Below are 21,121 nucleotides of genomic sequence, written 5' to 3'. Positions count from 1 at the left end.
ACACAAGGCCAACAGACCAGACCAAAATGGAGTCACTCATGCTGAAGTTCCACACCACCAGGCCCAAACGAAGGTTATCTGACCTTCCAAGAATCAGGAGAGAGACAATAGCTGGAGCCCCAGACAGGCCAGTTTCAGCGGGCATGATAAGGAAGTTCCCTCAGCTCTATCCTTTACAAGGAAAATAAATTGAAATGACTAATCCCCTTTTGTTTTCTGTTTCTCTCAGCCCCATTCTGTCTATAAAGCCAAACTCCTCTGCTCGGCTCATCAGATCATTCATTGTATTCTATAAGTGGGGTGTTGCCCAATTCTAGAATTGCAAATAAAAGCCAATTAAGATCTTTAAGATAAATTTTTTATAATTTTGTCTTTTGACATATGTAAAACAGGAAGCAATATCAACACATATAGGTCATCCCTGTGGTGCCGCCTCTCCACAGAGCCCCGTGCTAGAGCTGTGGATGCAGCAGGCCCCAAGACAGCCGCCTGGGGAGGATTCTCTTAGAGGTGGCATCTGAGGACAGACGTAGGGCCCCCAGCAGGTCCAGGGAGATGGGGTGGGCTGATGAGCTGAGTGGTTCCTAACAATGATTCACTGAGGGTGTGTGTGAATCTCTGAACTAAAATCCTAAACAAAGTGCAGGGTTCTGATAAATTAGAGCAAAATTCAAGTCCAGGGTTACAAAGTGGAGCCTGAAGGGGAGGCCTCGTCATGGAGAATTTGGGGGATCTGGGTTGGGGGCCCCACACCCACCAGCTGTCTGACCTGGGCCAGCTCTCACAATCTCTGTGTCTCAAGTTTCGTCCTCTGTGAAATGGGGATGGGACACACACCACCTGGACAGCTCAAGGGGGACAGCCCATGTGAGCCCCGGTGCGGTCCCTCTCCTCAGCCACCTCTTCCCCCACCCCCCCCCCCACCACACCCCAGACCTGTCCTGCCTCTCCCTAGGGTCCCAGCCTTCCAGAGGTGACTAAAGCCAATTGCCCAAGGTACATGGGTAAGGCGGATAAGCCTGGGCTTTGGAGTCGAATCCGGCTCTGCTTCTTCCCGTGGGCACCTTCGCTTCCATGGTCCTCAGTCTCTGTGTCCATAAAATGGAGGCAATTCCACCACTGTGTTGCGAGGACGCAGTGGGATGTCACACACGGCACAGCTGACATCTGGCAGGGGCTCATCATGGGACCCAGGCTATCCATGATGTCCCATGATTCCACAGTGAGGCCCTCTAGCTGTGAGGAGGCTTCAGGGTGGGAGCAGCCTTGGCACCTGCCGTTCCCCTCCTGCAGGGAGTTTGCCCTTCTACAGCAGAGGGCTAGACAGCTTCTCCCCCTCCTCCTCCTCCTCAGCCCCCCAGGTGCTGCCCTTCAGCCCGATGGACTGAGTCCCCTGCTGCGGTTTCTGGTTTCCAGGCTCCTGAAGGGCTTCTCCACTCTCTATCCCTCAGACCTGTTCCATCTTATTTCCAGGGGACCTGCCTCCTGCCCAGCGACCCTCTTCAGAGAGGTGACCCCCTACTCCCCGCTGGCAGACACGCCCCCGGCACGCCCTTACCTTGTCAGGATGGGGGTCTGGCTGACTCCCCTTCCCCTCCACCCTGGGCACCCTGAAAGAGCCAGGAAAGGAGGCAATGTTGGGACTCCGGGTGTGTCAGGGAGTAAGGGACAGAGGAAGAAGAGGTAGGGCTCCAAGAGGAAATGACTGGGAGCACTCTGGGCCCACGTAATTTATTACAGGACTTTGTCCCTGGGCTCCAGGCACTTCCACTCCCACACGCCTCCCTCAGCCCCAGCTGGCAGAGCCTCATGATACCTGCTCTTTAACCCAGGCCCCTTCTGCAGAGCAGCGATGCATGCTGCCCGGAGGCCACCAGGGTTTGCAGTCTGTGCACCTGCTCTGGCCACCAGCCAGATCCCATGGTGACAGTCAGCTGACCATCCGGGGGCTCAGCATCTTCCCAGGTGCTGCATGGCAGGAGCTCTGCCCCCAAGCACCCCAAGCTCTAATTGAGGGTGGTAGTATAATATAAAATACAGTATATTTGGTCCTTGTTCCCGGTTGGTGTCACAGAACTCCTAAAACCCTTAGAATTTCCAAAGTGATCGTCGGGCATGGTGGCTCACGCCTGTAATCCCAGCATTTTGGGAGGCCGAGGCAGGCGGATCACAAGGTCAGGAGATCAAGACCATCCTGGCTAACACGGTGAAACCCCATCTCTACTAAAAACACACACACAAAAAAATTAGCTGGGCGTGGTGGCGGGCGCCTGTAGTCCCAGCTGGAGGTTGAGGAAGGAGAATGGCGTGAACCGGGGAGGTGGAGCTTGCAGTGAGCCAAGATCGGGCCACTGCACTCCAGCCTGGGTGACAGAGCGAGACTCCGTCTCAAACAAACAAACAAACAAAAAATTTCCCAAGTGATCATCTCATAATGAGTCCGTTTGATAACACCTGAAGTTATGCTGAGGAGGTGACCATGTGGGGGCCCTACCTAGCCTCAGCATGGGGTCAGTCACCAGAAAGACCTAGTGAATAGAGGGTTGGAACTTTCAGCCCCGCCTACTGACCTCTGGGAAGGTAAAACTCTTGAACAAGATTTGACAAGCTTCCACACATCTGAGGTCCCTGGGGGGTGGCATGCGGGAGAGGGCATGGAAGCTCCATGACCTTCCCACACAACTCACCTGTGCGTGTTTATTCGGCTGCTCATCTGTAATCCTTTGTAAAATCTTTTCCCACGAACTGGTCAATATGAGTGCCGTCCTGAGTTCCATGAGCTATGCTAGCAAATCCAACCTCAGGTGTGGGGCATGGGAACCCCGATTTATAGCCAATTGGTCAGAAGTATAGGTGGCAACCTAGGACTTGAGACTGCATTTGAAGTGGGGCAGTTTTGTGGGACTGAGCCCTTAACCTGTGGGATCTATGACTCCAGGTTGACAGTGTCTGATTGAATTGAATTATAGGACATCCAGACGGAGTCTGCTGGAGAACTGCTTGGACACCTGGTCAAGAGAGTGTTCTGTGTTGAGTGTGAAAGGAGCATACACCTGGGACATGTCTGGGGCCATCAGGAAGCCTTAGAGACAAAGGCCATCAGACAACAAGGTTCCCAGGAGGGTACCTGGCAACAAATTGGGCAGGCTTGGGCTGGCACTTGATCAAGGGGGATTTGGGCTTAAGGCAAATACAGACTGTTTAGAAGGGAAGTGCAACCGCAGTGGGCCCTGGGTGGGGTCAGACTGGAGGGGCCAGGCAGTCCCTGGAAGTGAGCAGGAGGGCGAGGGGAGCTCATTTATGCAAGGCTTTGAAGGCGGGTGGATAATAGGGGCAGGTAGTTACCTGGTCAGCCACAGGCCTTGTGTTGGGTAAAAAAGGGGTCTGGTCATCCTTACAGTTGGCCCAACTAGAGCCAATCAGATTCCTTTCTTTTCCTTGGACTTGGAGGGACTTGGGAACTGCAGGCAGAAATGTGGGAATGAGCCATCGTCTTTTAGAACTGAGGTCAAGGCAGGGTGGCAACCCTGAACATGGACCTTTCGTGGGGACACAGACCAAGCGGTGGTGGGAGAGAAAAGGAGAGGTGGACAAGCTGCAGAGGTGGAGACCCAGTGGCTCCAGAGACAGGAGGAGACCCCCGATGCCTCAGGGTTTCCTGTGCCTCCTGTGGGTGGGCTCCATGGAGTCCCCAGTTTCCGTCTATTAAATGTTCTCTTTGTTGACATGGCTTGAAGGAGTTTCTGTATCTTAAAACCAAATGGCCCATCCCAAAGACAGGGAACCAAGCTGGGAGATCCCTTGAAGGACCACTTGGAGGGAGCTGCATGTTCCGAGTCTTTCAGGCGGCCCCCTGTCCCGCCTGTTCCCCCTAGAACAGCCCCCCAAGTTCTGCCCTTGCTCTGACTAGCCTCCTGCTCCCTAAAATTTGGTTCGGTTTCTGGGTCCACACTCAGCCTTTTTGAGCTTCATGCTGCACATGGTTTCTCGGGTTTAGAAAGATACCATTTAGCTCCTCTAGGGCTGACGCTGCTGCTCCTGGCAGCTCCCAGAGATGGTGAACCCCTTGCTCTGGGGCTGAGACTGAGTCCTCTTCGGACCTTTTCTACTGCCCTCATGTAAGAAAATATTGGGACAGAAAATCTGTGTGGACCAAAACAATCTGTAAGATGTTCCCATCCAGTTCTCACCTTATGCAAAATTTGACAGAAACACATTTTAGATACTGACCTGCTATTCTCTGTCTCTCTCTATTTTATGTTACACATTATATCACAAGAACTTTCTGACACTGTACCAAACTTTTACCATTGGTCTTTAGAAACAGCGTGACAGTATGTCACACAAGTGCCCCATCATTTGTATACCCATCCTCCCTGGATGGACCCTGGGAGGTACCCAATCCTTTGCTGTCACACACAATACTGCAATGAACATATCTGTGCTCTCAGCGTTGTTTGCATTTTGTCATTATGGAAGATTCCAGTGGGATCTCTGGAAGAAGATCTTCCACTATGGAAGAACAGTGGGCATGAATTTTTGGTTGCTAATATTTCTCAAGTGGCATGCCAAGTCCTCCCTCCCAGTCAAAACTGCGCCTATGATTGCAAGGACCTGGTCTGATTGCTGTGTGAGTTGGTGCAAAGGGGGACACCCTGAGGCATGGTTCTCCTGGAGCCTCAGGCTTTCCATAGCCAAGGGACCCCAAGCCCTGGAAATCAAGAAGATGGGTTGGGGAAAGGCAGGGCAGGCTCTTCCTGGTAACACGGGCGACCAGGCTTGGCTGTCTCCCAGCCCAGTGCTACTTCCACAATTAGCGTAGTGCTCATTTCCCAAGACGCAAATATTCAGCTAACCTTGAAAAACATGTTTGTGAGCTGAGCTGAAATGCGCCCATGGACAACCTATGGTTCATTCCATTCCTGTCAGTGACCAAGCCCATTATAGCGTCATCACAGCGACTGACACAGAGCAAGCCTTTCGCTTCAGCTCTACCAGCATATCATAGAGCTAACTGAAGTCACTTGCTTATGGTGGCCCTAATATTCCCATCTAGGCTACAGCAGCCAAATTATCCATTAACCCTATGAAACAGCAAGGTTGGCAGCACAGACCTCTGCGACTGAACTACTCTTTAGAACATTTTTGAATTCTCAGTCTCAGAAAGAGCTGGCATGTGATAAGGATTTTCTCTGTGCTGGGCTCTTTGCTTGTACCATCTCACTCAACCCTCATCAAACCTCAACAAATGAGGGGTGCTTCTCCTCATTTCATAGCAAGGAAGTTAAAGTCAAAGAGGTTATGAAACTTGCTTAGGCCACACAACCAAAAGTGGCAGAGGTGCGGTTTGAATTAGGGTGTACCTGACCCCATGGCCTGGGCTTATTGGGATGTATTATACCACGCCAACCCTCAGACAAACCAGACCTCCTCCTTCCTCACCCCAGTGATGCATGAGACATCCTATCTTCAGAGATTTAAAAAAAAAAAAGGTGTTTCCCCAACTTGCTGGCCCTAGCCCAGGGTTTGAAAGGCCTTGCCCATTTTGTTGCCTTGGTTTCTGAGATGCTGGGGCAAGGGAATATCTGGGAAGAGAAGCAACGCTTAAATGCTTCCCTGGAAACACAGTTGTGCACAGTACAAGACAGTAGATCACAGGGCACATTCTGTCCTGTAGTTCAGGGTTTCTCAGTCTTGGCATTATTAGCGTTTTGGAGTAGATTGTTCTTTGTTGGGGAATGAGAGGCGTTGTCCTGTGTACTGCAGAACATTTAGCAGCAGCCATTGGTTATGTCCCCACCCCTAGTGGTGACAAATCAAAATGTCTTCAGATATTATTGCCAAATGTCTCTGGGGGACAAAGTCCCAGTTGGGAACCAATATATAGTTCACAGGCCCAGGTGCCATTGGAGGCTGGGAGAAAGAGGAGGCCAACAAAGACCAGAACGAATGTCCTCCCGGAAGAGGTGACCCTGACCCTTGGGCTCCTTCAATGGCAGGAAGATATGGCTCAGAGGGAGGGTGCATGGAAGATGAGTGCTTCCTGGAGGATCTTGGTTCTGACATGCCAAGGAGATGACTGTGTCATCAGGCAAACTCAAGTACTTCATCCTCCGGGAACAGCAGCTTCAAGATAGCTGCTCCTAGACTGGGAAGGTCTTGGATCCAAAGTCCTGATGGGCCAGCTAGGCATCCACAGTCTCAGCCCAGGAGGAAAGGACTCATTTCTGGTGGTGCTTTTGTCACCATAAGCCCTCTGAGGAAACTACCCAGAGATTTGTCCAAGGCAGCAAGAGGGGGAAAGTAGGGGCACAAAATGAAAAGGTCACCTCCTCCTCTCTAGAGGGCTTTGGGCAATCCAGTGGATAAATCTGTCTTAGGCCCTAGCATTTAAACCTAGGTCACTGGCCATAAACATGGGACCTCTGTCCCATGACCAGGGTTAATGGCATATCCTGATGACTAATCTTATTGCCCTGGGGGAGATTGAGATACTGACAAGGAAAAGCAAAACTTGCTTACGTGTCAACTCAATAAACTAAATAAATGAAGTTAATGATGCTAATTATGACGATAGTAATACTTTGCCTAGCTCTTGGAAGATAGTGATACTTTGCCTAGCTCTTAGGCTCATTGCTGAGAACTTTATTTCTGGGAAAAGAAGTACTGGGGTGGATTTCTTAACCTTGCCTGGAATGCTGCATATCCACCAAGATCACTTTCCTTTTCCTCTTGGTCCCACAGTGGACATACTCTTCCCTGCCTCACTCACAATTAGAAGGGGCCATGGAATGAGGGTAAGTGATATGCTCTAACTCCAGGCTAGACCCACTAAAATATCCTGCACCTTTCTACACACTCTCTTCTCCCATCTGCTGGTGGCATGCAGAGCATCCAGTAGGGGCTTCTGAGGCCCTGGGAAATGGTGGAGCCACAATATGGTAAGAGCCTGGATCCCTGAATGACTGCTAGGAGCAGAGAGCAACCTCCACCTCACCACTGACCCCACTGCCCATTGACAAGAGGAAGAAACAAACTATTATCAAGTCAAGCCACTGAAATTTGTTGATGTTGTTATAACAACATAACTACATGGTAGATTGTTAGCTTACCATGATTGAAACATTATCTTTCCATCCAAATCGGCCTTTGTCCTTCAAATATCACCTCAAGCACCCTCCCCCAAGGAAGCCAACCTGATTGTTCACTCTAGCCTCACCCTCCTTTTAATTCCCATGGTACTTGTTACCCACATCACACAATTCACCTCTTAGCATTTTCTTTTTTCAAAGCCGTACTTCCTAATGAATTGTAAGCTTCTCAAGGTAGGAATCATGTGTTAATTTTCTGTATCTTCACAATGCCTAATAATAATGATAATAGCTAACATATATATTGCTAATCTTAAATAGTAAGATGCATAAAATATGATTACACATAGAGTTTATTTGAGTGTGCGGATAGCCACCCAGGAGACCTCAACTCCAAACGAATGGGTTCAGCGTTCCAAAGTGAAGAAGTTAAGGTTTTACTTATACAGAGACAGACAGAAAAATTTTAGCAGGATTATAACATTTTCCATACAAGACAGTGCATATGTTACAGTGATTTGATTGGTTACAGATTGCTGCATCCCAAGGAAGATGACATTATTACTCTGTAGAAGGGGCAGTGATCTGAGGGGGTTTTATCTCTGGCACCACTTAGTCTCAATTATTTATAGGTGGAAAAAAGGCAGAAGTTGCAGCTGCATGCCATGTGACTCAGGCTGCATAGTCACATTCCTCTCAAGACTCAGAACAATTTAAGTTCCAACAGCTTTAAGTTTGAATTATTTGGCTGGGTGCAGTGGTTCACGTCTGTAATCCTAGCACTTTGGGAGACCGAGGTGGGTGGATCACCTGAGGCCAGGAGTTCAAGACCAGCCTGGCCAACATGGTGAAACCCCATCTCTACTAAAAATACAAAAAATAGCCAGGCGTGGTGGTGCACACCTGTAGTCCCAGCTACTAGGGAGGCTGAAGCACGAGAATTGCGTGAACCCAAGAGGCGAAGGTTGCAGCGAACCAAGATTGTGCCACTGCACTCCAGCCTGGGTGACAGAGCGAGATCCCATTTCAAAAAAAAAAAAAAAGTTTGAATTATTTAATTTCACAATATTCTGTCCCAGGAATCATTATATAATATATATATTTATATCATGTATAATATTATACAAGTAATATATATAACATATTATACATTATAATTATATATGTGCATTTAGCTTCATGACAACTCTGTGACATAAATGGTACTGTTATCCCCAACTTATAGATGAGGACGTTGAAGCACAGAGAGGTTCAGCAACTTGCTCAAGGTCACGCAGCTAGTAAGTTTCATTTGTGTCTTCCCTGGTAGGGCTTGCTAGTGGCTCAAGCACAAGAAGCTGGGTCAGACTTAGAGACCTGGATTCTCTGACGTAGAAAAAAGCTAAGAGTACTTGAAACCTGATTCAACCCTCTCATTTGATACATGTGGAAACTGAGGCTCATAGAAGGCTGGTAGCTTGTCCCAGCTTACTAAGTACAATAAGCCCAGCGATAGGCCCACAGCCTAGGGCTCTAAGCCCCCAGTCTACAGCTCTGATGGTGCCAGGCTATTTATATTATGCGGCCTCTTGCTCCCTGACATGTTCAGCAGATGGCAGTGTCTTCAGAGTGTCTCCAAATAAATCTTACATTCACTTAGGGAATGCAGCGTCTCTGGGTTATCTGTTAAGGGAGGAAGCATTGTGGACTGCTGCAAGTTTGCCTCTCCATTCTTCTGTCATTAGCACCCTTGGTGTGGGAAACAGCCTATCTTCTGGGTGCCTCCCTACCACCGCCATGGGCCAACTGTACTGGGGTGGGGTGTGATGGGTAAGGAGATGGCAGTCCTGAAAATGTAAGGCAGCCAAGACTCAGAAAGACACATCTGTGCCACTACAGAATTTCTCTACCAGGATCCAGGAGGGACAGCCAGCTGGTAGGAAGGAGCTCTGGGAACTCTCCGTAAGCTGTGTTTACACTGACAACCACACTGCTTTAACTAAGGCTCTGTATTCATTTGAAAGACTTGTCCTGTCTCACTAAATTGTTGGCTTTCTGAGTACAAAAATTAGATCTGATGCTTCTTTGCAGGCTTCTAGAGCTAAGAACATTGTTGTGTGTCCAGAGTGTTTCTATCCTTTCTCCAAACCACCAGTACAGTTAGTTTTAACGCTAAAATTCAGTAATTTTCATCCGGCAATTGCATTGTTTATAACCCAACCACTTTCCTGACTGTTGGACTTACATCTCTGGTGAAACTAAAAGGTTCTCTTCCACTGAACCTCCGCCTGGAATTTTGATCTATTAATCCTGCTCCATTTACACAGGTGTACTCTCACCTTCTCTTTAGAAGAGGGCTTAGAGCCTTGATATCTTCTATCAAGTGATTCGGTTTCGGGCATTGCTAATTCTTTGTTCTTTTGATTCTCAAGACTGCCTGAGAAGATGTCATTCCCACAGCTGAAAAGAAGGAATTTGGATTCAATGCTGTTTCCACCACTTCGGAAAGGAATATCCATGAACTCTCTTGCAGGAAAATGGGAATTTCCAGAGAGAAACCACTTCTCCCCTTTCTTCTCTTCCCACGTCCTCTTCAGGAGCCTATAATTGGGCTCTGCCAGCATACTCTGACTGGCTAACGAAGGGTCAGATATCTGCAGTAGTAACAAAAGGCTCTTTTTCTACATGTCTACACCTCCTGGGGAGTCTTTGCTTAAACCTCTACTGGCCCTCCTCCGATCCAAAGGCAAGAATGTTCCCCTCTCTGTCCAAGACTAAAATGAACAAGTAAGGAAATGGATTTTACTCAGCCTATTGCAATAGGGAGAGCACTCCAGATATGATCAGTGTCTTGGCAGCGTAGTTTTGACTTTTATAGGGAGGAAGGTGGGATGATTGACAGTTGGGATTGTTTTGCAATCAGGAGAAGTTTCAGTCAGGTGAACAGGAAATGTTCTCTGTGTCTAACAAGTTGGGGGGAGGAGAGTTCTAATCTCAACTAATCACTCGATATCATCAGCGGGAATTTGGAAGGTCTGTTTGGCTTTATTAACAGGCTCAGAATAAAGGGGAAAGGTCTCTGGCCTTGTCACAGGCAAACAAGGGGGTCATCTGCACGCGTTTTATCTGAGTCACATGGAGACGGGTGGTTCTTTACAGTGTGCCGTTCCAGAAACACAAATAGATGAGGGGGTTTCTTAATCACCGCTGTTTTCCAGGAACACAGGGCTCAGGTAAAGTTCAACTTCACCTTCCTCCGGTGTTTCATCAGGGGAACCCTTCTGGAAGCAAAGACGTGTACTTCTTACTGTTGGCTAAATGGCTTCTTAACAAGGAAATTAAATCGTTGTTTAGAATGAAAGAGAGGAAGACGCCGGGAGAGGAGGCGCTGTGGATCGCGCCAGTTAGTAACGCATCACAGCTCGCGGGCGTCATACTACAAGTCCCAGTGAGCAACGCCCGCTTTCTTGCCTACTGCGGGCGGGAACCAGGCGCCTCTGGGCCTGACGGGAAAGACAGTGGTTTGGCTGAATGACGGAAAAGTCATTTGAGCAGGTCTTCATTTTTCGGAAGAGTATCTCAAAAGCTCTTCAAACAAGGCACGGACACAGAATCTAGGAAATGATAAAGAATCAATGATAACGTTATTACCACGGGGGTCAGACCAGGATCCACCCGAGGAAGGTATTTAACTAAAGCCCGAGTTCCAGCTCAATTTTCCCAGGAGTCTCCTTTCCGGCCGTGCCTGGCGTCATTGCTGTTGCGTCTTCTCATTGGCCGGTTGACGGGTTGCGGCGCCTGCGCGCTGCATTCCTTTGAGGGTCGTGGGCAGACGCCATTTTGGCCCCAGCGGTGCTTCTAGGAAGTAGAACGCCGGCTCGCATGCCTGCCCGCCCGCCAGCCTGCCGGGTACGGCCTTTTCCGCCGGGGCTTCCAGGTCAAAGAATTCGCCTTTGCCGCTACCGCTTTCTTACCCTCCGCACCCGTTAAGTTCTCCGGTCGGGCGGCAGTCTCTGAACACTTAGCCGCGCCATCCGGGGTCACACCGCCTGGAAGGAGGTGACGGGGGCGGCGCGGGGCGCGGACACTCCCCGCTGAGAGTCCGCCTGCCATGGACTCGGAATATTACAGCGGCGACCAGTCAGGTGGGGCAGGGACCTGGGGGACCGGGCTGGGAGGCGGAGCAGTTACTCGGCGGGGCTTGGCCTGGCACCCCGCGGGTGGGGGCAAGGAGGCCCCCCGAAACCTTCCCTCCCGCGACCCGGCCCGAGGAGGGCAAGAGCCCTCTGACCAGCTGCAAGCGTCGAAGCTAGAACGTTGGAGAGGGGATTCTGGTGGGAAAGCTTTCTTCTGAATCGGCGAAGGTTTTTGCTGAAATTGGGAAGTCACTTTCATATGTTAAGCTCCTATTGTGTGCAGGGAAGGAGAGGTGTCTTCTGTTAAGAGAGTTTTCAGTAGTTGAGTAGTTGGAGAATCCAAGGGGCGTTGGGGCGGGGGATCCTTCCTAGACTTTTCACTGCTAGTTAGGAGTGGTTTAATCTTGCTTGCAACACCGGACGTAAGTGCAGGACCCATGTTTCAGTTGCATGCATAGAGTAAGGAATGCGCTTCTGGCACTTACTGGTGGTTTTTGTGCCTTTCCTCCACCTTGAGATCGTTCCTCTTCCTCCTCACCGAAGTTTGGTCTCCTTTCTTTACTGTTTGTTTATTCTGTAAGCTGTTACTGGGGCCCACTCTGCTGGCACGGTGCTTGGCACCTGAGATTAAGGATAAGTGAGGCAGAACCTGGTGTGGGAAACACGTCGCATTTGCTTTCCCTTTGTGTGCTAGTCCTGTTGGGGCGTTCTGTTACAAAAGTTCTTAAATACACCATAAATAAATACACCCTCTATGTACCCACAAAAATTGAAAATTAAAAAGAAAACTTGAGTGCTTAAATAATTGTTTAAGCGTTAAGCCCTTTACTGTTTTGAGTTCATTGCTTTTCCTTACGTAGGACAGTGAATTCTAATGACTGCAAAGCGTTTTCCAGGCATGCACTGCTTAAAAACACTTTCCTAAGCCAGGTGCGGTGGATTATGCCTGTAATCCCAGCACTTTGGGAGGCGTAGGCGGCCGATGGCTTGAGCCCAGGAGTTCGAGACCAGCCTGGGCAACATAGTGAGACCAACACCACCCCCACCCCCCATGCCCGTACCCCACCCCCCTACGCCCCTACCCCACCCCCCTACTTCGTCTCTACAAAAAAATGCAAAAATTAGCCGAGTGTGGTGGCATACACCTGTAGTCCCAGTTACTCAGGAGGCTGAAGTGGGAGGATCCTTTGAGCCCTGAGCCCGGGAGGCAGAGGTTGCAGTGAGCGGAAGTTGCACCACTGCACTCCAAGCCTGGGCGACAGAGCAAGACTCTGTCTCAAAAAAAACAAAAACAAAAACAAAAACAAAAAAACACTTTCCTGATACTTTCAGAATAGTTTTTTTTCCATTCATTTGTGTTTTTAAGTTACTTTTTAAAAAGTAGACCGAGCACGGTGGCAAACACCTGAGGTCAGGAGTTTGAGACCAGCCTGGCCAACGTGGTGAAGCCCATCTCTACTAAAAATACAAAAAATTAGCCAGGCGTGGTGGCGGGCACCTGTAATCCCAGCTACTCAGGAGGCTGAGGCAGGAGAATCACTTGTTGAACCCGGGGGGGTGGAGGTTGCAGTGAGCTGAGATCACACCATTGCACTCCAGCCTGGGCCAAAAGAGCAAAACTGTGTCTCCAAAAAAAAAAAAAGTAATTATATGTAATACATGTATATAGGTTAAAATACGATTTTACTCTGTATTTTTTAAAGTATTGGGGCTGGGTGTAATCCCAGCACTTTAGGAGGCAAAGGCAGGAGGATTGCTTGAGGCCAGGAGTTTGAGACCAGCCTGGGCAACATAGCAAGACCCCATCTCTACAAAAATATAAAAGAAAGTTAGGTAACAGTTTGTATTTACCATTTTATATATGCTTTTCTTGAATGGATTTTCACTAGTTTTGGACTGGAGTTCCTTGTGTTCTTCATTTGTAAACAAATACTTACTGTATATCAGGTACTAGGCAGTGTTCTGGGCTCCAGAGATTTAGCAGTGAACCAAAATCCCTATTCTTGTGGCATTTTCTTTCAGGTGAAGAAGACCCACGTTAAACAAAATAACTTCAGGTAGTATATTAGAAGGTGATAAATGCCATGGAGAGAAAGACCCAATTTTAACATGAAGTTGAAATAAATTGTTGACTTGGTGTTTAGTGTTGTTTCTTAAGCTACAAATTGTTTTTATGGTGTAGTTTTGCTGCCACGTATTTCACAGTACATGTTATGCTTGTTGGTGTTTGTATGAGTATTGTATTACCTTATTCAAAATATTAGCAACTTTAGTTAATGCTTCCTCAGTGGTAACTTTTGCACTTACGTTATTCTTGATTCAGTGTGTTCATTTCACTGTAGATGTCATTCATCTTACACCATAAGTTGGTTTTTGTTTTGTTTTTAATCAGATGATGGTGGTGCTACCCCAGTACAGGATGAACGGGATTCAGGGTCAGACGGTGAGGATGATGTAAATGAGCAACACTCCGGATCAGACACTGGAAGTGTAGAACGTCATTCAGAGGTATTGGCTAACCAACATCTTTGGGAGGGCTTTTCCCTTGCGTTCTGTGAGATCTGTTATATTATAGGAGTTACAGAATCTCTGTGACAGAGTTTAGGGTTTAATCTCTGAGAGTAAAGGAGCATAAGTTAATAGAAAACCGCTTGAAAAATAAATAGGGATGGTCTGGTTACTGTTGAAATCACAGTGAAATATGTTCTGATTGGGTCACATTTCAAATGTTAGGCAGTTTTCAACTGTGCATATTGATTCAGAAAATGGGCCCGGCCTTTGATATTTGACTAAGTTTCCCTATTCTGCAATAATGTCATAGTGGGGCATTGAGCATTTGCAATCTGAAGAAACACCACTTGAAATAGAAAGTTATGGGGGTTATCACCTGTCAACATTTATGTCAGCATTTGCCCTTCTGATTTTGAACTGTTACGGTGTATATAATGTATGTAATAATAATGCTTTTTTTTTTGAGACAGGGTCTGACTCTGTAACACAGGCTGGAGTACAGTGGTGAGACCTCGGCTCACTGCAGCCTCTGCCTCTGGGCTCAAGCTATCCTCCCACCTCATAGCCTCCCGAGTAGCTGGGACTACAGGCACAGGCCACCACGTCCAGCTATTTTTGTTTTCTTGGTAGAGATGGGGTTTCACCATGTTGGCCAGGCTGATCTCAAACTCCTGACCTCAAGTGATCTGCCCACCTCAGCCTCTCAAAGTGCTAGGATTACAGGCGTGAGCCACCACACCTGGCCTGCAAATATAATTTTAAGAGCTGTTTTTGTTTAATAATATGTAATAGTATTGGGTTTTGTGTACATTTTAACGTATTTGCTCTAATACATAAATATTTCAGAACTGCTTTATTTTCCTTTCTGTTTATACATCATGTTAACAAGATAAAATTGGGAAATTTTTCAATAAGTTCGCCGTAAGTCTTTGGTAGATACGACTGAAACAAATAGGAATGATAAAGATGCAAAGATTTAAGAACTTTCTATGCCTTATATTTTTCTTGATTACACATATGCAGAAAATTGTCCAATTTTTAGTAGGTGTGATTAGAGATTATATTGACTCTGTCCTTTGACAGCAACATTAGCATATCATACATTCAACAGGTATTTATTGAGCACCTAATATGTGTCAGACTTTTTGCAGGTGCTTTGGACTTATCAGTGACTAGAAGTTAAAATCCTTCTCTTCTTAGGTTTGTTTTTCCAGTAGGAGGAGAAAGACATTAAGCAATAAACATTTTTTTTTAATTGTGTAGTCTGCTAGAAGATAACAAATGCTGTGAAGAAAACAGATAATTAGAACAAAGGATGGAGGGCAGGCTTTGGTGTTAAATAGGGACCATATAGGTCTTTTATTAAGAAAGTGACATTTGAACCAAGGTGTGAAGGGAGGCAAAGGAATAGCCGTGTGGATATGGACGTTTAGGGGAAGAACATCCCTGGCAAAGACCCCAAGGTGAGAGTGTGCTTGATATCTTCAAGGAGCCAGTGGAACTGAAATGGGGTCATTAAGGGGTAGGGGAGGTCAGAGAACTAAATGCGGGTGTGGAAAAGGCTCATCTTTTATATATTTTGATGTCACTCAGGTTTTTTCTGTGCTTTTAAACATTCAGAATAAATTCCAATATTTTAATTGATAGTTGGAAGTTACTTAATAATGTATATGTTGTTACAGCCAGTGCATTTAGTGCATGATATTTTAAGTTTCCTCTTTGGAAACAGCATTCAGAGATTAATCATGGTCAGTTTAGAGCCCAGTAGGGTAGTCATCTCATGGCCTCATGGTGCAGTTACAAGTTCAGGTTACCCTAAGCATCTTTGTTTTTTTATAATATGGATTCTAAATAAATAAGTGTGGCTGTTTTTGAAAATTTGGAAATCACAGACTGTCCCAGACTTAAACTATAATTTGACTTAAAAATTTTCAACTTTGCGATGTTGCAAGTGCTGTATGTATACTTTGAGTACCCATACAACCGTTCTGTTTTTTCACTGTATTCAGTAAATTACATGAGATACTCAACATTCTATTATAAAATAGGTTTTGTGTTGGGTGATTTTGTCCAACCGTAGGTCTTACCTCTGTAAGTGTTTGGAGCACATCTAAGGTAGGCTAGGCTAAGCTGTGATGTTTGGTAGATTAGATGTATGAAATGCGTTTTTGGCTTAATTATATTTTCAGCTTACTATGGGTGTATCAGGCTGTAACCCCATAATAAGTTGAGGCACTCCTGCATCTGTGAAGTTTAAAGAAAAAAATTAAAACCAGCATAGTCCAACTACAGAAATGACTATGAGCCTTTTCACATTATTTATCCTGCAGTTTCATTCTGTCCCAGGTATATGACGTCTATATATTTTAACTTTACTTGAGATGTTATTATATATATTTTGTGTCTTTCTATGTATATATTTTGAGACAGAGTCTCACTCTGTCCCAGGCTGGAGTGCAGTGGCATGATCTTGGCTCACTGCAACCTCCGCCTCCCAGGTTCAAGCAATTCTCCTGCCTCAGCCTCCAGAGTAGCTGGGATTACAGTGCGCTACCACGCCTAATTTTTAGTATTTTTAGTAGAGACAGGGTTTCACCATGTTGGCCAGGCTGGTCTCAAACTCCTGACCTTGTAATCCACCGGCCTTGGCCTCCCAAAGTGCTGGAATTACAGGTGTGAGCCACTGTGCCCAGCCTATGTATTATTTTTTATCTCTTCACTTAAGATGATACTTTTAAGTGTTTCCCCACGTCATTAAAGATTCTCAATAAGCGTAATGTTTAATGGTTTCACAATATGGATGCAGCATCACTTATTCAGCAATTTTCTAATTGTTGTCATTTATGCTGTTTAGCTATTGTATTAAATAACTGAAGCTGCCCTGAAGATTTTTGTACATAAACATTTGTGATCATTTTTTATTGTTTCCTTAGAAAGCTGCCAGGAGAATTAACGAGATTAGAGACTAAGACATTTTAAGGCTCTTCATAGAAATTCCTCTCCAGGAAGGTTATGGTAATTTGCTAAACCACTAGTACTTCAAGAGTGCCAGTTGTACTGTGTATAAGTGTTGAGTTCTGTATTAATGTTCTTTTGCCTGTTTAAAATGGCTTTTAAGAAGACATTTTGTTTTCTCATTAAACATTTTTTTTTAGAAGTAATGGGATGTTAAAAGAGTACGGTTGCATTAAATGAAGCAGTGCAAAGGCCGGGCGTGGTGGCCCTTGCCTGTAATCCCAGCACTTTGGGAGGCCGAGGTGGGTGGATCATGAGGTCAAGAGATCGAGACCATCCTGGCCAACATGGTGAAACCCCGTCTCTACTAAAAATACAAAAATTAGCCAGGCATGGTGGTTTGCGCCTGTAGTCCCAGCTACCTAGGAGGCTGAGGCAGGAGAATCTCTTGAACCCGGGAGGTGGAGGTTGCAGTGAGTAGAGATCACACCACTGCACTCCAGCCTGGCGACAGAGCGAGACTATGTCTCAAAAATAAAAACAAAACAAAAAAAATGGGGCAGTACAAATTACAGGTCCAAAGCCTGAAAGATACTAGTTTCCTCTTGAGGCTGTAACAACTTGATACAACTTGGTGGCTTAAAACAACGAAAAATTATTATCTTATAATTCTGGAGGTCAAGTCCAAAATGGGTCACACTGTACTAAAATCAAGGTGTCCCAGGGCTGTGTTCTTCTCTGAGGGAAGATACATTTCCTTGCTTTCTTCAGTTTGTAGTGGCTACCTGCATTTCTTGGCTGAGGCTCCTTCCTCCATCTTCAAAACCAGCAGCATAGCATCTTCACAACTCATTTTCTGACCTCTTGTTTCTGTCATCATATCTCTCTCTTACTCTGACCTTCCTGTATCCCTCCTGTAAGAACCTTTGTAATTATAATTGGGCCTACCTGGATAATCCAGGGTAATGTCCCTATTTCAAGGTCCTTACCTTAATTACATTTGCACAGTCCCTTGCATGTAAAGTGACATATTCACAGGTTCCAAGGGTTAGAACGTGGACATTTTTGAAGGGCCATTATTTTGCTACCATAAGATGGTACTCACAGCATAATTTTCCCAATAATGGTATTTTTTTTTTTAAACCCCTCATCTGTATTTTAGAATTTAGGCTAGTATTTTTTTTAAATTCATTTCACCTATAGTATTTACTCAGTGCACACACACGCACACACACACACACACAATCTTTAAGATAGTGGTCAGTATAGGAAATACTGATAAGATTTTGAAGACCAGTAACTTTTGCAGATTTCTTAACCACTTTATTAGAAAGCTCCTTTAGTTATTAAAAAAAAAACTTATTTTTTCTTAAAGTAATTGTATATGTCTATAAATAATCTCAGACAGGTGACAGAACAAGTCTCATATCAGACTACCTTAAGAAAACAAGAGTTTACTGTAACACATGTATGTAATGGGCTGTAAATCTTTCTGTCTAGGTAGCTTGTTCTGTCCATCTGTCATTGATGGCCCTGCCTAATGGCCATTTCTAATAACATCTCTGTTTATTCTTGTATGGTTGGCTTTATTTTTTTCTCCAAGATTTGAAAAACACTCAGTAATCAAGATAAATGATATTTTAAAACTCAAAATGAATGCAAAAAAAAATGAACAAAATATCAAAATCTTTAAAGTTAGGATCAGTAACAATGCTGTGTTGGTCTATATTTGAGCCAGAGGGAAAAGGAAAAACCAGTACTGGTTATCCTGTCTTCACATTTTAAATATTTTGTTCGTCATGGGTTTTTTTGCACCAACGTTGATCTTTAAAAAGATCACCTGTCTTGGGCCGGGTGCGGTGACTGACGCCTGTAATCCCAGCACTTTAGGAGGCCGAGGTGGGTGGATCCCCTGAGGTCAAGAGTTCGAGACCAGCCTGGCCAACGTGGTGGTGAAACCCCGTCTCTACTAAAAATACAAAAAATTAGCCAGGCGTGGTGACAGGCTCCTATAATCCCAGCTACTCGGGAGGCTGAGGCCGGAGAATCACTTGTACCTGGGAGGCAGAGGTTGCAGTGATCTGAGATCACGCCATTGTACTCTAGCCTGGGCAACGAGAGCAAAACTCTGCCTCAAAAAAAAAAAAAAAAAAAAGAATCGCCTGTCCTTTAAAAAGCAGCTTTTCTTTTTCTTTTTCTTTTTTGAGGCAGAATCTTACACTGTCGCCCGGGCTGGAGTGTAGTGGCACAATCACAGCTCACTGCAGCCTCAACCTCCCACGCTTAAGTGATCCAGACCTCAGCCTCCCAAGTAGCTGAGACCACAGGCATGCGCCAGTATGCCCAGCTAATTTTTGTATTTATAGTAGCAATGGGGTTTTGCCATGTTGCCTAGGGTGATGTCAAGCCCCTGAGCTCAAGCCATCCGCCCGCCTTGGCCTCCCAAAGTGCTGGGATTACAGGTATGAGCACCGTGCCTGGCCCAAAAAAGGGCTCTATTGAGATCAATTTACATACTATACAATTTGTGCAATTCAGTGATCTTTAGTATTTCACAGTAGCCCAGCTATCGCCACAGTTGGTTTTAGAATTTCATCACCTAAGAAACGCTTTTGCTGTTACCTTTCTAACCTCCTCTTCCCTTTGCCTACCCCTCCCCACCCCACAGTCCTCAGCAACCACTGATATACTTTCTGTCTCATAGAAGTCCTTGTTCTGGACATGTCTTACAAATGGAATGGTAAAATATGGTCTTTTGTGACTTATTTCACTTAGCATAATATTTTCAGGGTGTAGCCATGTTGTAGCACACATGAGTACTTCATTCCTTTTTGTGGTAAATAATATTCCATTATATGGATATACTATATTTTGCTTATCCATTCATCAGCTGATGACATTTGGATTGTTTCTTTTGGTATTATGAATAATGCTGCTATAAACATTTGTGTACAAATTTTTTGTAGACATATGTTTTCAGTTCTCCTGGGTTTATTCCTAGGGAGGTAATTGCTGGCTCATAACGTAATTCTGTGTGATCATTTGAGGAACTGCCAGACTATTTTCCACAGTGGTTACACCATTTTACATTCATACCAGCTGAGTGTAAGTGTTCTGATTTCTCCATACTCTTGTCGGCAATTATTACCTGACTTTTTGGGGTGTAGTTTTATTCTTTGCATTGGCTGTCTAGTTATCCCATTGCCATTTGTTGAGAAGACTGTTCTTTCCCCATTGGATGGTCTTGGCATCCTTGTTGAAAATCTGTTGACCATAGGATATATGGCTTCATTTCTGGACTTTAAAAACTTACTCATGTCTGCATCTATCCTTGTGCCTGTACTAGTGTATTAACTACTATTGCTTTGTAGTATGTTTTGATATTGGAGAGTATGAGTCCTAATTTGTTCTTTTTCAAGATTCTTTTAGCCAATCTGGGTCTCGTGGAGTTACCTGTGTATTTTAGAATCAGTTTGTTGATTTCTGCAGAGAAGTTAGCTGGGATTCTGATGGGGGATTGCACCGAATCTGTAGACCAGTTTGGGGAATATTGCCATCTTGGTAGTGTAAAGTCTGTTCATCCAAGAACACGGGATGTCTATTTAAGTGTTTAATTGCTTTTAACAGTGATTTATAGTTTTCCGTGTATACATGTTCGATTTCTTTGTTAAATTTATGTTATTCTCTTTGATGTTTAGTAAATGGAATTATCTTACTAATTTCATATTCATATTGTTCCTAAACACTTTTCCTACTATTTCTAATCTTATTTCATTGTAGTGGGGGAACAAACCTTGTATATTGCTATTCTTTTAAATTTGTCAGGGTTTGTTTTAGGGCCTAGCACATAGTCTATCCTGGAGAATGTTCCATGCGCTTAATAAGAATATATATTGTTGAATAAAGGTTTTGTTTTGTTTTTAAAAAAGGTCTCTTCTGTTGCCTAGGTTGGAGTGCAGTGGTGTATTTGTGGCTCACTTTGACACAGCGGGCATGTGAAAAAATTATGGCTCATTGTAACCTTGAACTCCTGGGCACAAGGAGTCTTCCCGCCTCATACCTCTGAGTAGCCAGGACTACAGTTGCGTACCATCATGCCTGGCTAATTTTAAAATTTTTGTGGAGAGGGATTTTGCTATGTTGCCCAGGCTGGTCTTGAACTCCTGACCTCAAGTGGTTCCTCCCACCCTGGCCTCTCAGCAGTACTGGGATTACACGTGTGAGCCATTGTGCCAGGCCTATTTCTTTAGATATCTGATTTAGTTGATTTATAGTATTGTTGAAGTCCTCTTTTTTTTCTCATTGAGCTTATGTCTAGTAATTCTATTCAGCTGTTTTCTCCTTTTCTATTTTGTGTGTGTGTATTGCGGGGGCGGGGTGCGGAGTCTCACTGTCGCCCAGGCTGGAGTGCCATGACGCGATCTCGGCTCACTGCCCAGGTTGAAGAGA

General features: G+C 45.3%; 2 protein-coding genes across 18 annotated transcripts in view, besides 9 other annotated features; one reads left to right on the top strand and one right to left on the bottom strand.

Annotated features, from left to right (window-relative positions):
- Positions 1 to 1,707, bottom strand: part of MYO7B (myosin VIIB) — a 102,044-nt gene extending 100,337 nt beyond the window's left edge. For all 9 annotated transcript variants that reach the window (XR_001738748.2, XM_047444437.1, XM_011511218.3 and 6 more), the window contains exon 1: positions 1,559 to 1,707. The gene's annotated coding sequence lies outside the window, so the exon portion shown is untranslated. The remainder of the gene's footprint in view (positions 1 to 1,558) is intronic.
- Positions 825 to 1,675: an enhancer, noted in NCBI's record as "H3K4me1 hESC enhancer chr2:128293291-128294141 (GRCh37/hg19 assembly coordinates)". NCBI's record gives its function as "activates a minimal SCP1, AML or CMV promoter by ChIP-STARR-seq in primed H9 embryonic stem cells {active_cell/tissue: H9 hESC(primed)}" and the evidence as "EXISTENCE:reporter gene assay evidence [ECO:0000049][PMID:30033119]".
- IWS1 (interacts with SUPT6H, CTD assembly factor 1) overlaps positions 10,054 to 21,121 on the top strand; it is a 46,525-nt gene continuing 35,457 nt past the window's right edge. For 5 of the 9 annotated variants that reach the window (XR_001738828.2, XM_006712626.4, XM_047444948.1 and 2 more), the window contains exons 1-2: positions 10,101 to 10,754; positions 13,599 to 13,714. Coding sequence is in view for 7 of the 9 variants with exons in the window: in XM_006712626.4 (XP_006712689.1) it covers positions 10,706 to 10,754; positions 13,599 to 13,714 (165 nt within the window). In the remaining 2 variants the exon portion in view is untranslated. Of the gene's footprint in view, positions 10,755 to 10,900; positions 11,216 to 13,598; positions 13,715 to 21,121 lie in introns of those variants that run through there. The other 4 variants (NM_017969.3, NM_001410923.1, XM_005263707.4 and 1 more) reach the window with 3 other exon arrangements.
- Positions 10,302 to 10,371: an enhancer, noted in NCBI's record as "active region_16493". NCBI's record gives its function as "activates an Ori minimal core promoter by ATAC-STARR-seq in GM12878 lymphoblastoid cells {active_cell/tissue: GM12878}" and the evidence as "EXISTENCE:reporter gene assay evidence [ECO:0000049][PMID:35858748]".
- Positions 10,407 to 10,580: a silencer, noted in NCBI's record as "fragment chr2:128284386-128284559 (GRCh37/hg19 assembly coordinates)". NCBI's record gives its function as "represses an EF-1alpha promoter that drives an FKBP-Casp9 reporter gene in an ReSE screen in phorbol 12-myristate 13-acetate-treated (for megakaryocytic differentiation) K562 erythroleukemia cells {active_cell/tissue: K562(+PMA)}" and the evidence as "EXISTENCE:reporter gene assay evidence [ECO:0000049][PMID:32094911]".
- Positions 10,612 to 10,661: an enhancer, noted in NCBI's record as "active region_16492". NCBI's record gives its function as "activates an Ori minimal core promoter by ATAC-STARR-seq in GM12878 lymphoblastoid cells {active_cell/tissue: GM12878}" and the evidence as "EXISTENCE:reporter gene assay evidence [ECO:0000049][PMID:35858748]".
- Positions 10,922 to 10,981: an enhancer, noted in NCBI's record as "active region_16491". NCBI's record gives its function as "activates an Ori minimal core promoter by ATAC-STARR-seq in GM12878 lymphoblastoid cells {active_cell/tissue: GM12878}" and the evidence as "EXISTENCE:reporter gene assay evidence [ECO:0000049][PMID:35858748]".
- Positions 10,992 to 11,691: an enhancer, noted in NCBI's record as "NANOG-H3K27ac-H3K4me1 hESC enhancer chr2:128283275-128283974 (GRCh37/hg19 assembly coordinates)". NCBI's record gives its function as "activates a minimal SCP1, AML or CMV promoter by ChIP-STARR-seq in naive H9 embryonic stem cells {active_cell/tissue: H9 hESC(naive)}" and the evidence as "EXISTENCE:reporter gene assay evidence [ECO:0000049][PMID:30033119]".
- Positions 11,222 to 11,331: a silencer, noted in NCBI's record as "silent region_11933". NCBI's record gives its function as "represses an Ori minimal core promoter by ATAC-STARR-seq in GM12878 lymphoblastoid cells {active_cell/tissue: GM12878}" and the evidence as "EXISTENCE:reporter gene assay evidence [ECO:0000049][PMID:35858748]".
- Positions 11,512 to 11,571: an enhancer, noted in NCBI's record as "active region_16490". NCBI's record gives its function as "activates an Ori minimal core promoter by ATAC-STARR-seq in GM12878 lymphoblastoid cells {active_cell/tissue: GM12878}" and the evidence as "EXISTENCE:reporter gene assay evidence [ECO:0000049][PMID:35858748]".
- Positions 11,582 to 11,661: an enhancer, noted in NCBI's record as "active region_16489". NCBI's record gives its function as "activates an Ori minimal core promoter by ATAC-STARR-seq in GM12878 lymphoblastoid cells {active_cell/tissue: GM12878}" and the evidence as "EXISTENCE:reporter gene assay evidence [ECO:0000049][PMID:35858748]".

This window comes from Homo sapiens, chromosome 2 (assembly GCF_000001405.40).
Source record: "Homo sapiens chromosome 2, GRCh38.p14 Primary Assembly".
Lineage (NCBI taxonomy): Eukaryota > Metazoa > Chordata > Mammalia > Primates > Hominidae > Homo > Homo sapiens.
The sequence above is the reverse complement of the archived record's forward strand: the minus strand, read 5'-3'. Positions and strand labels throughout refer to the sequence as shown.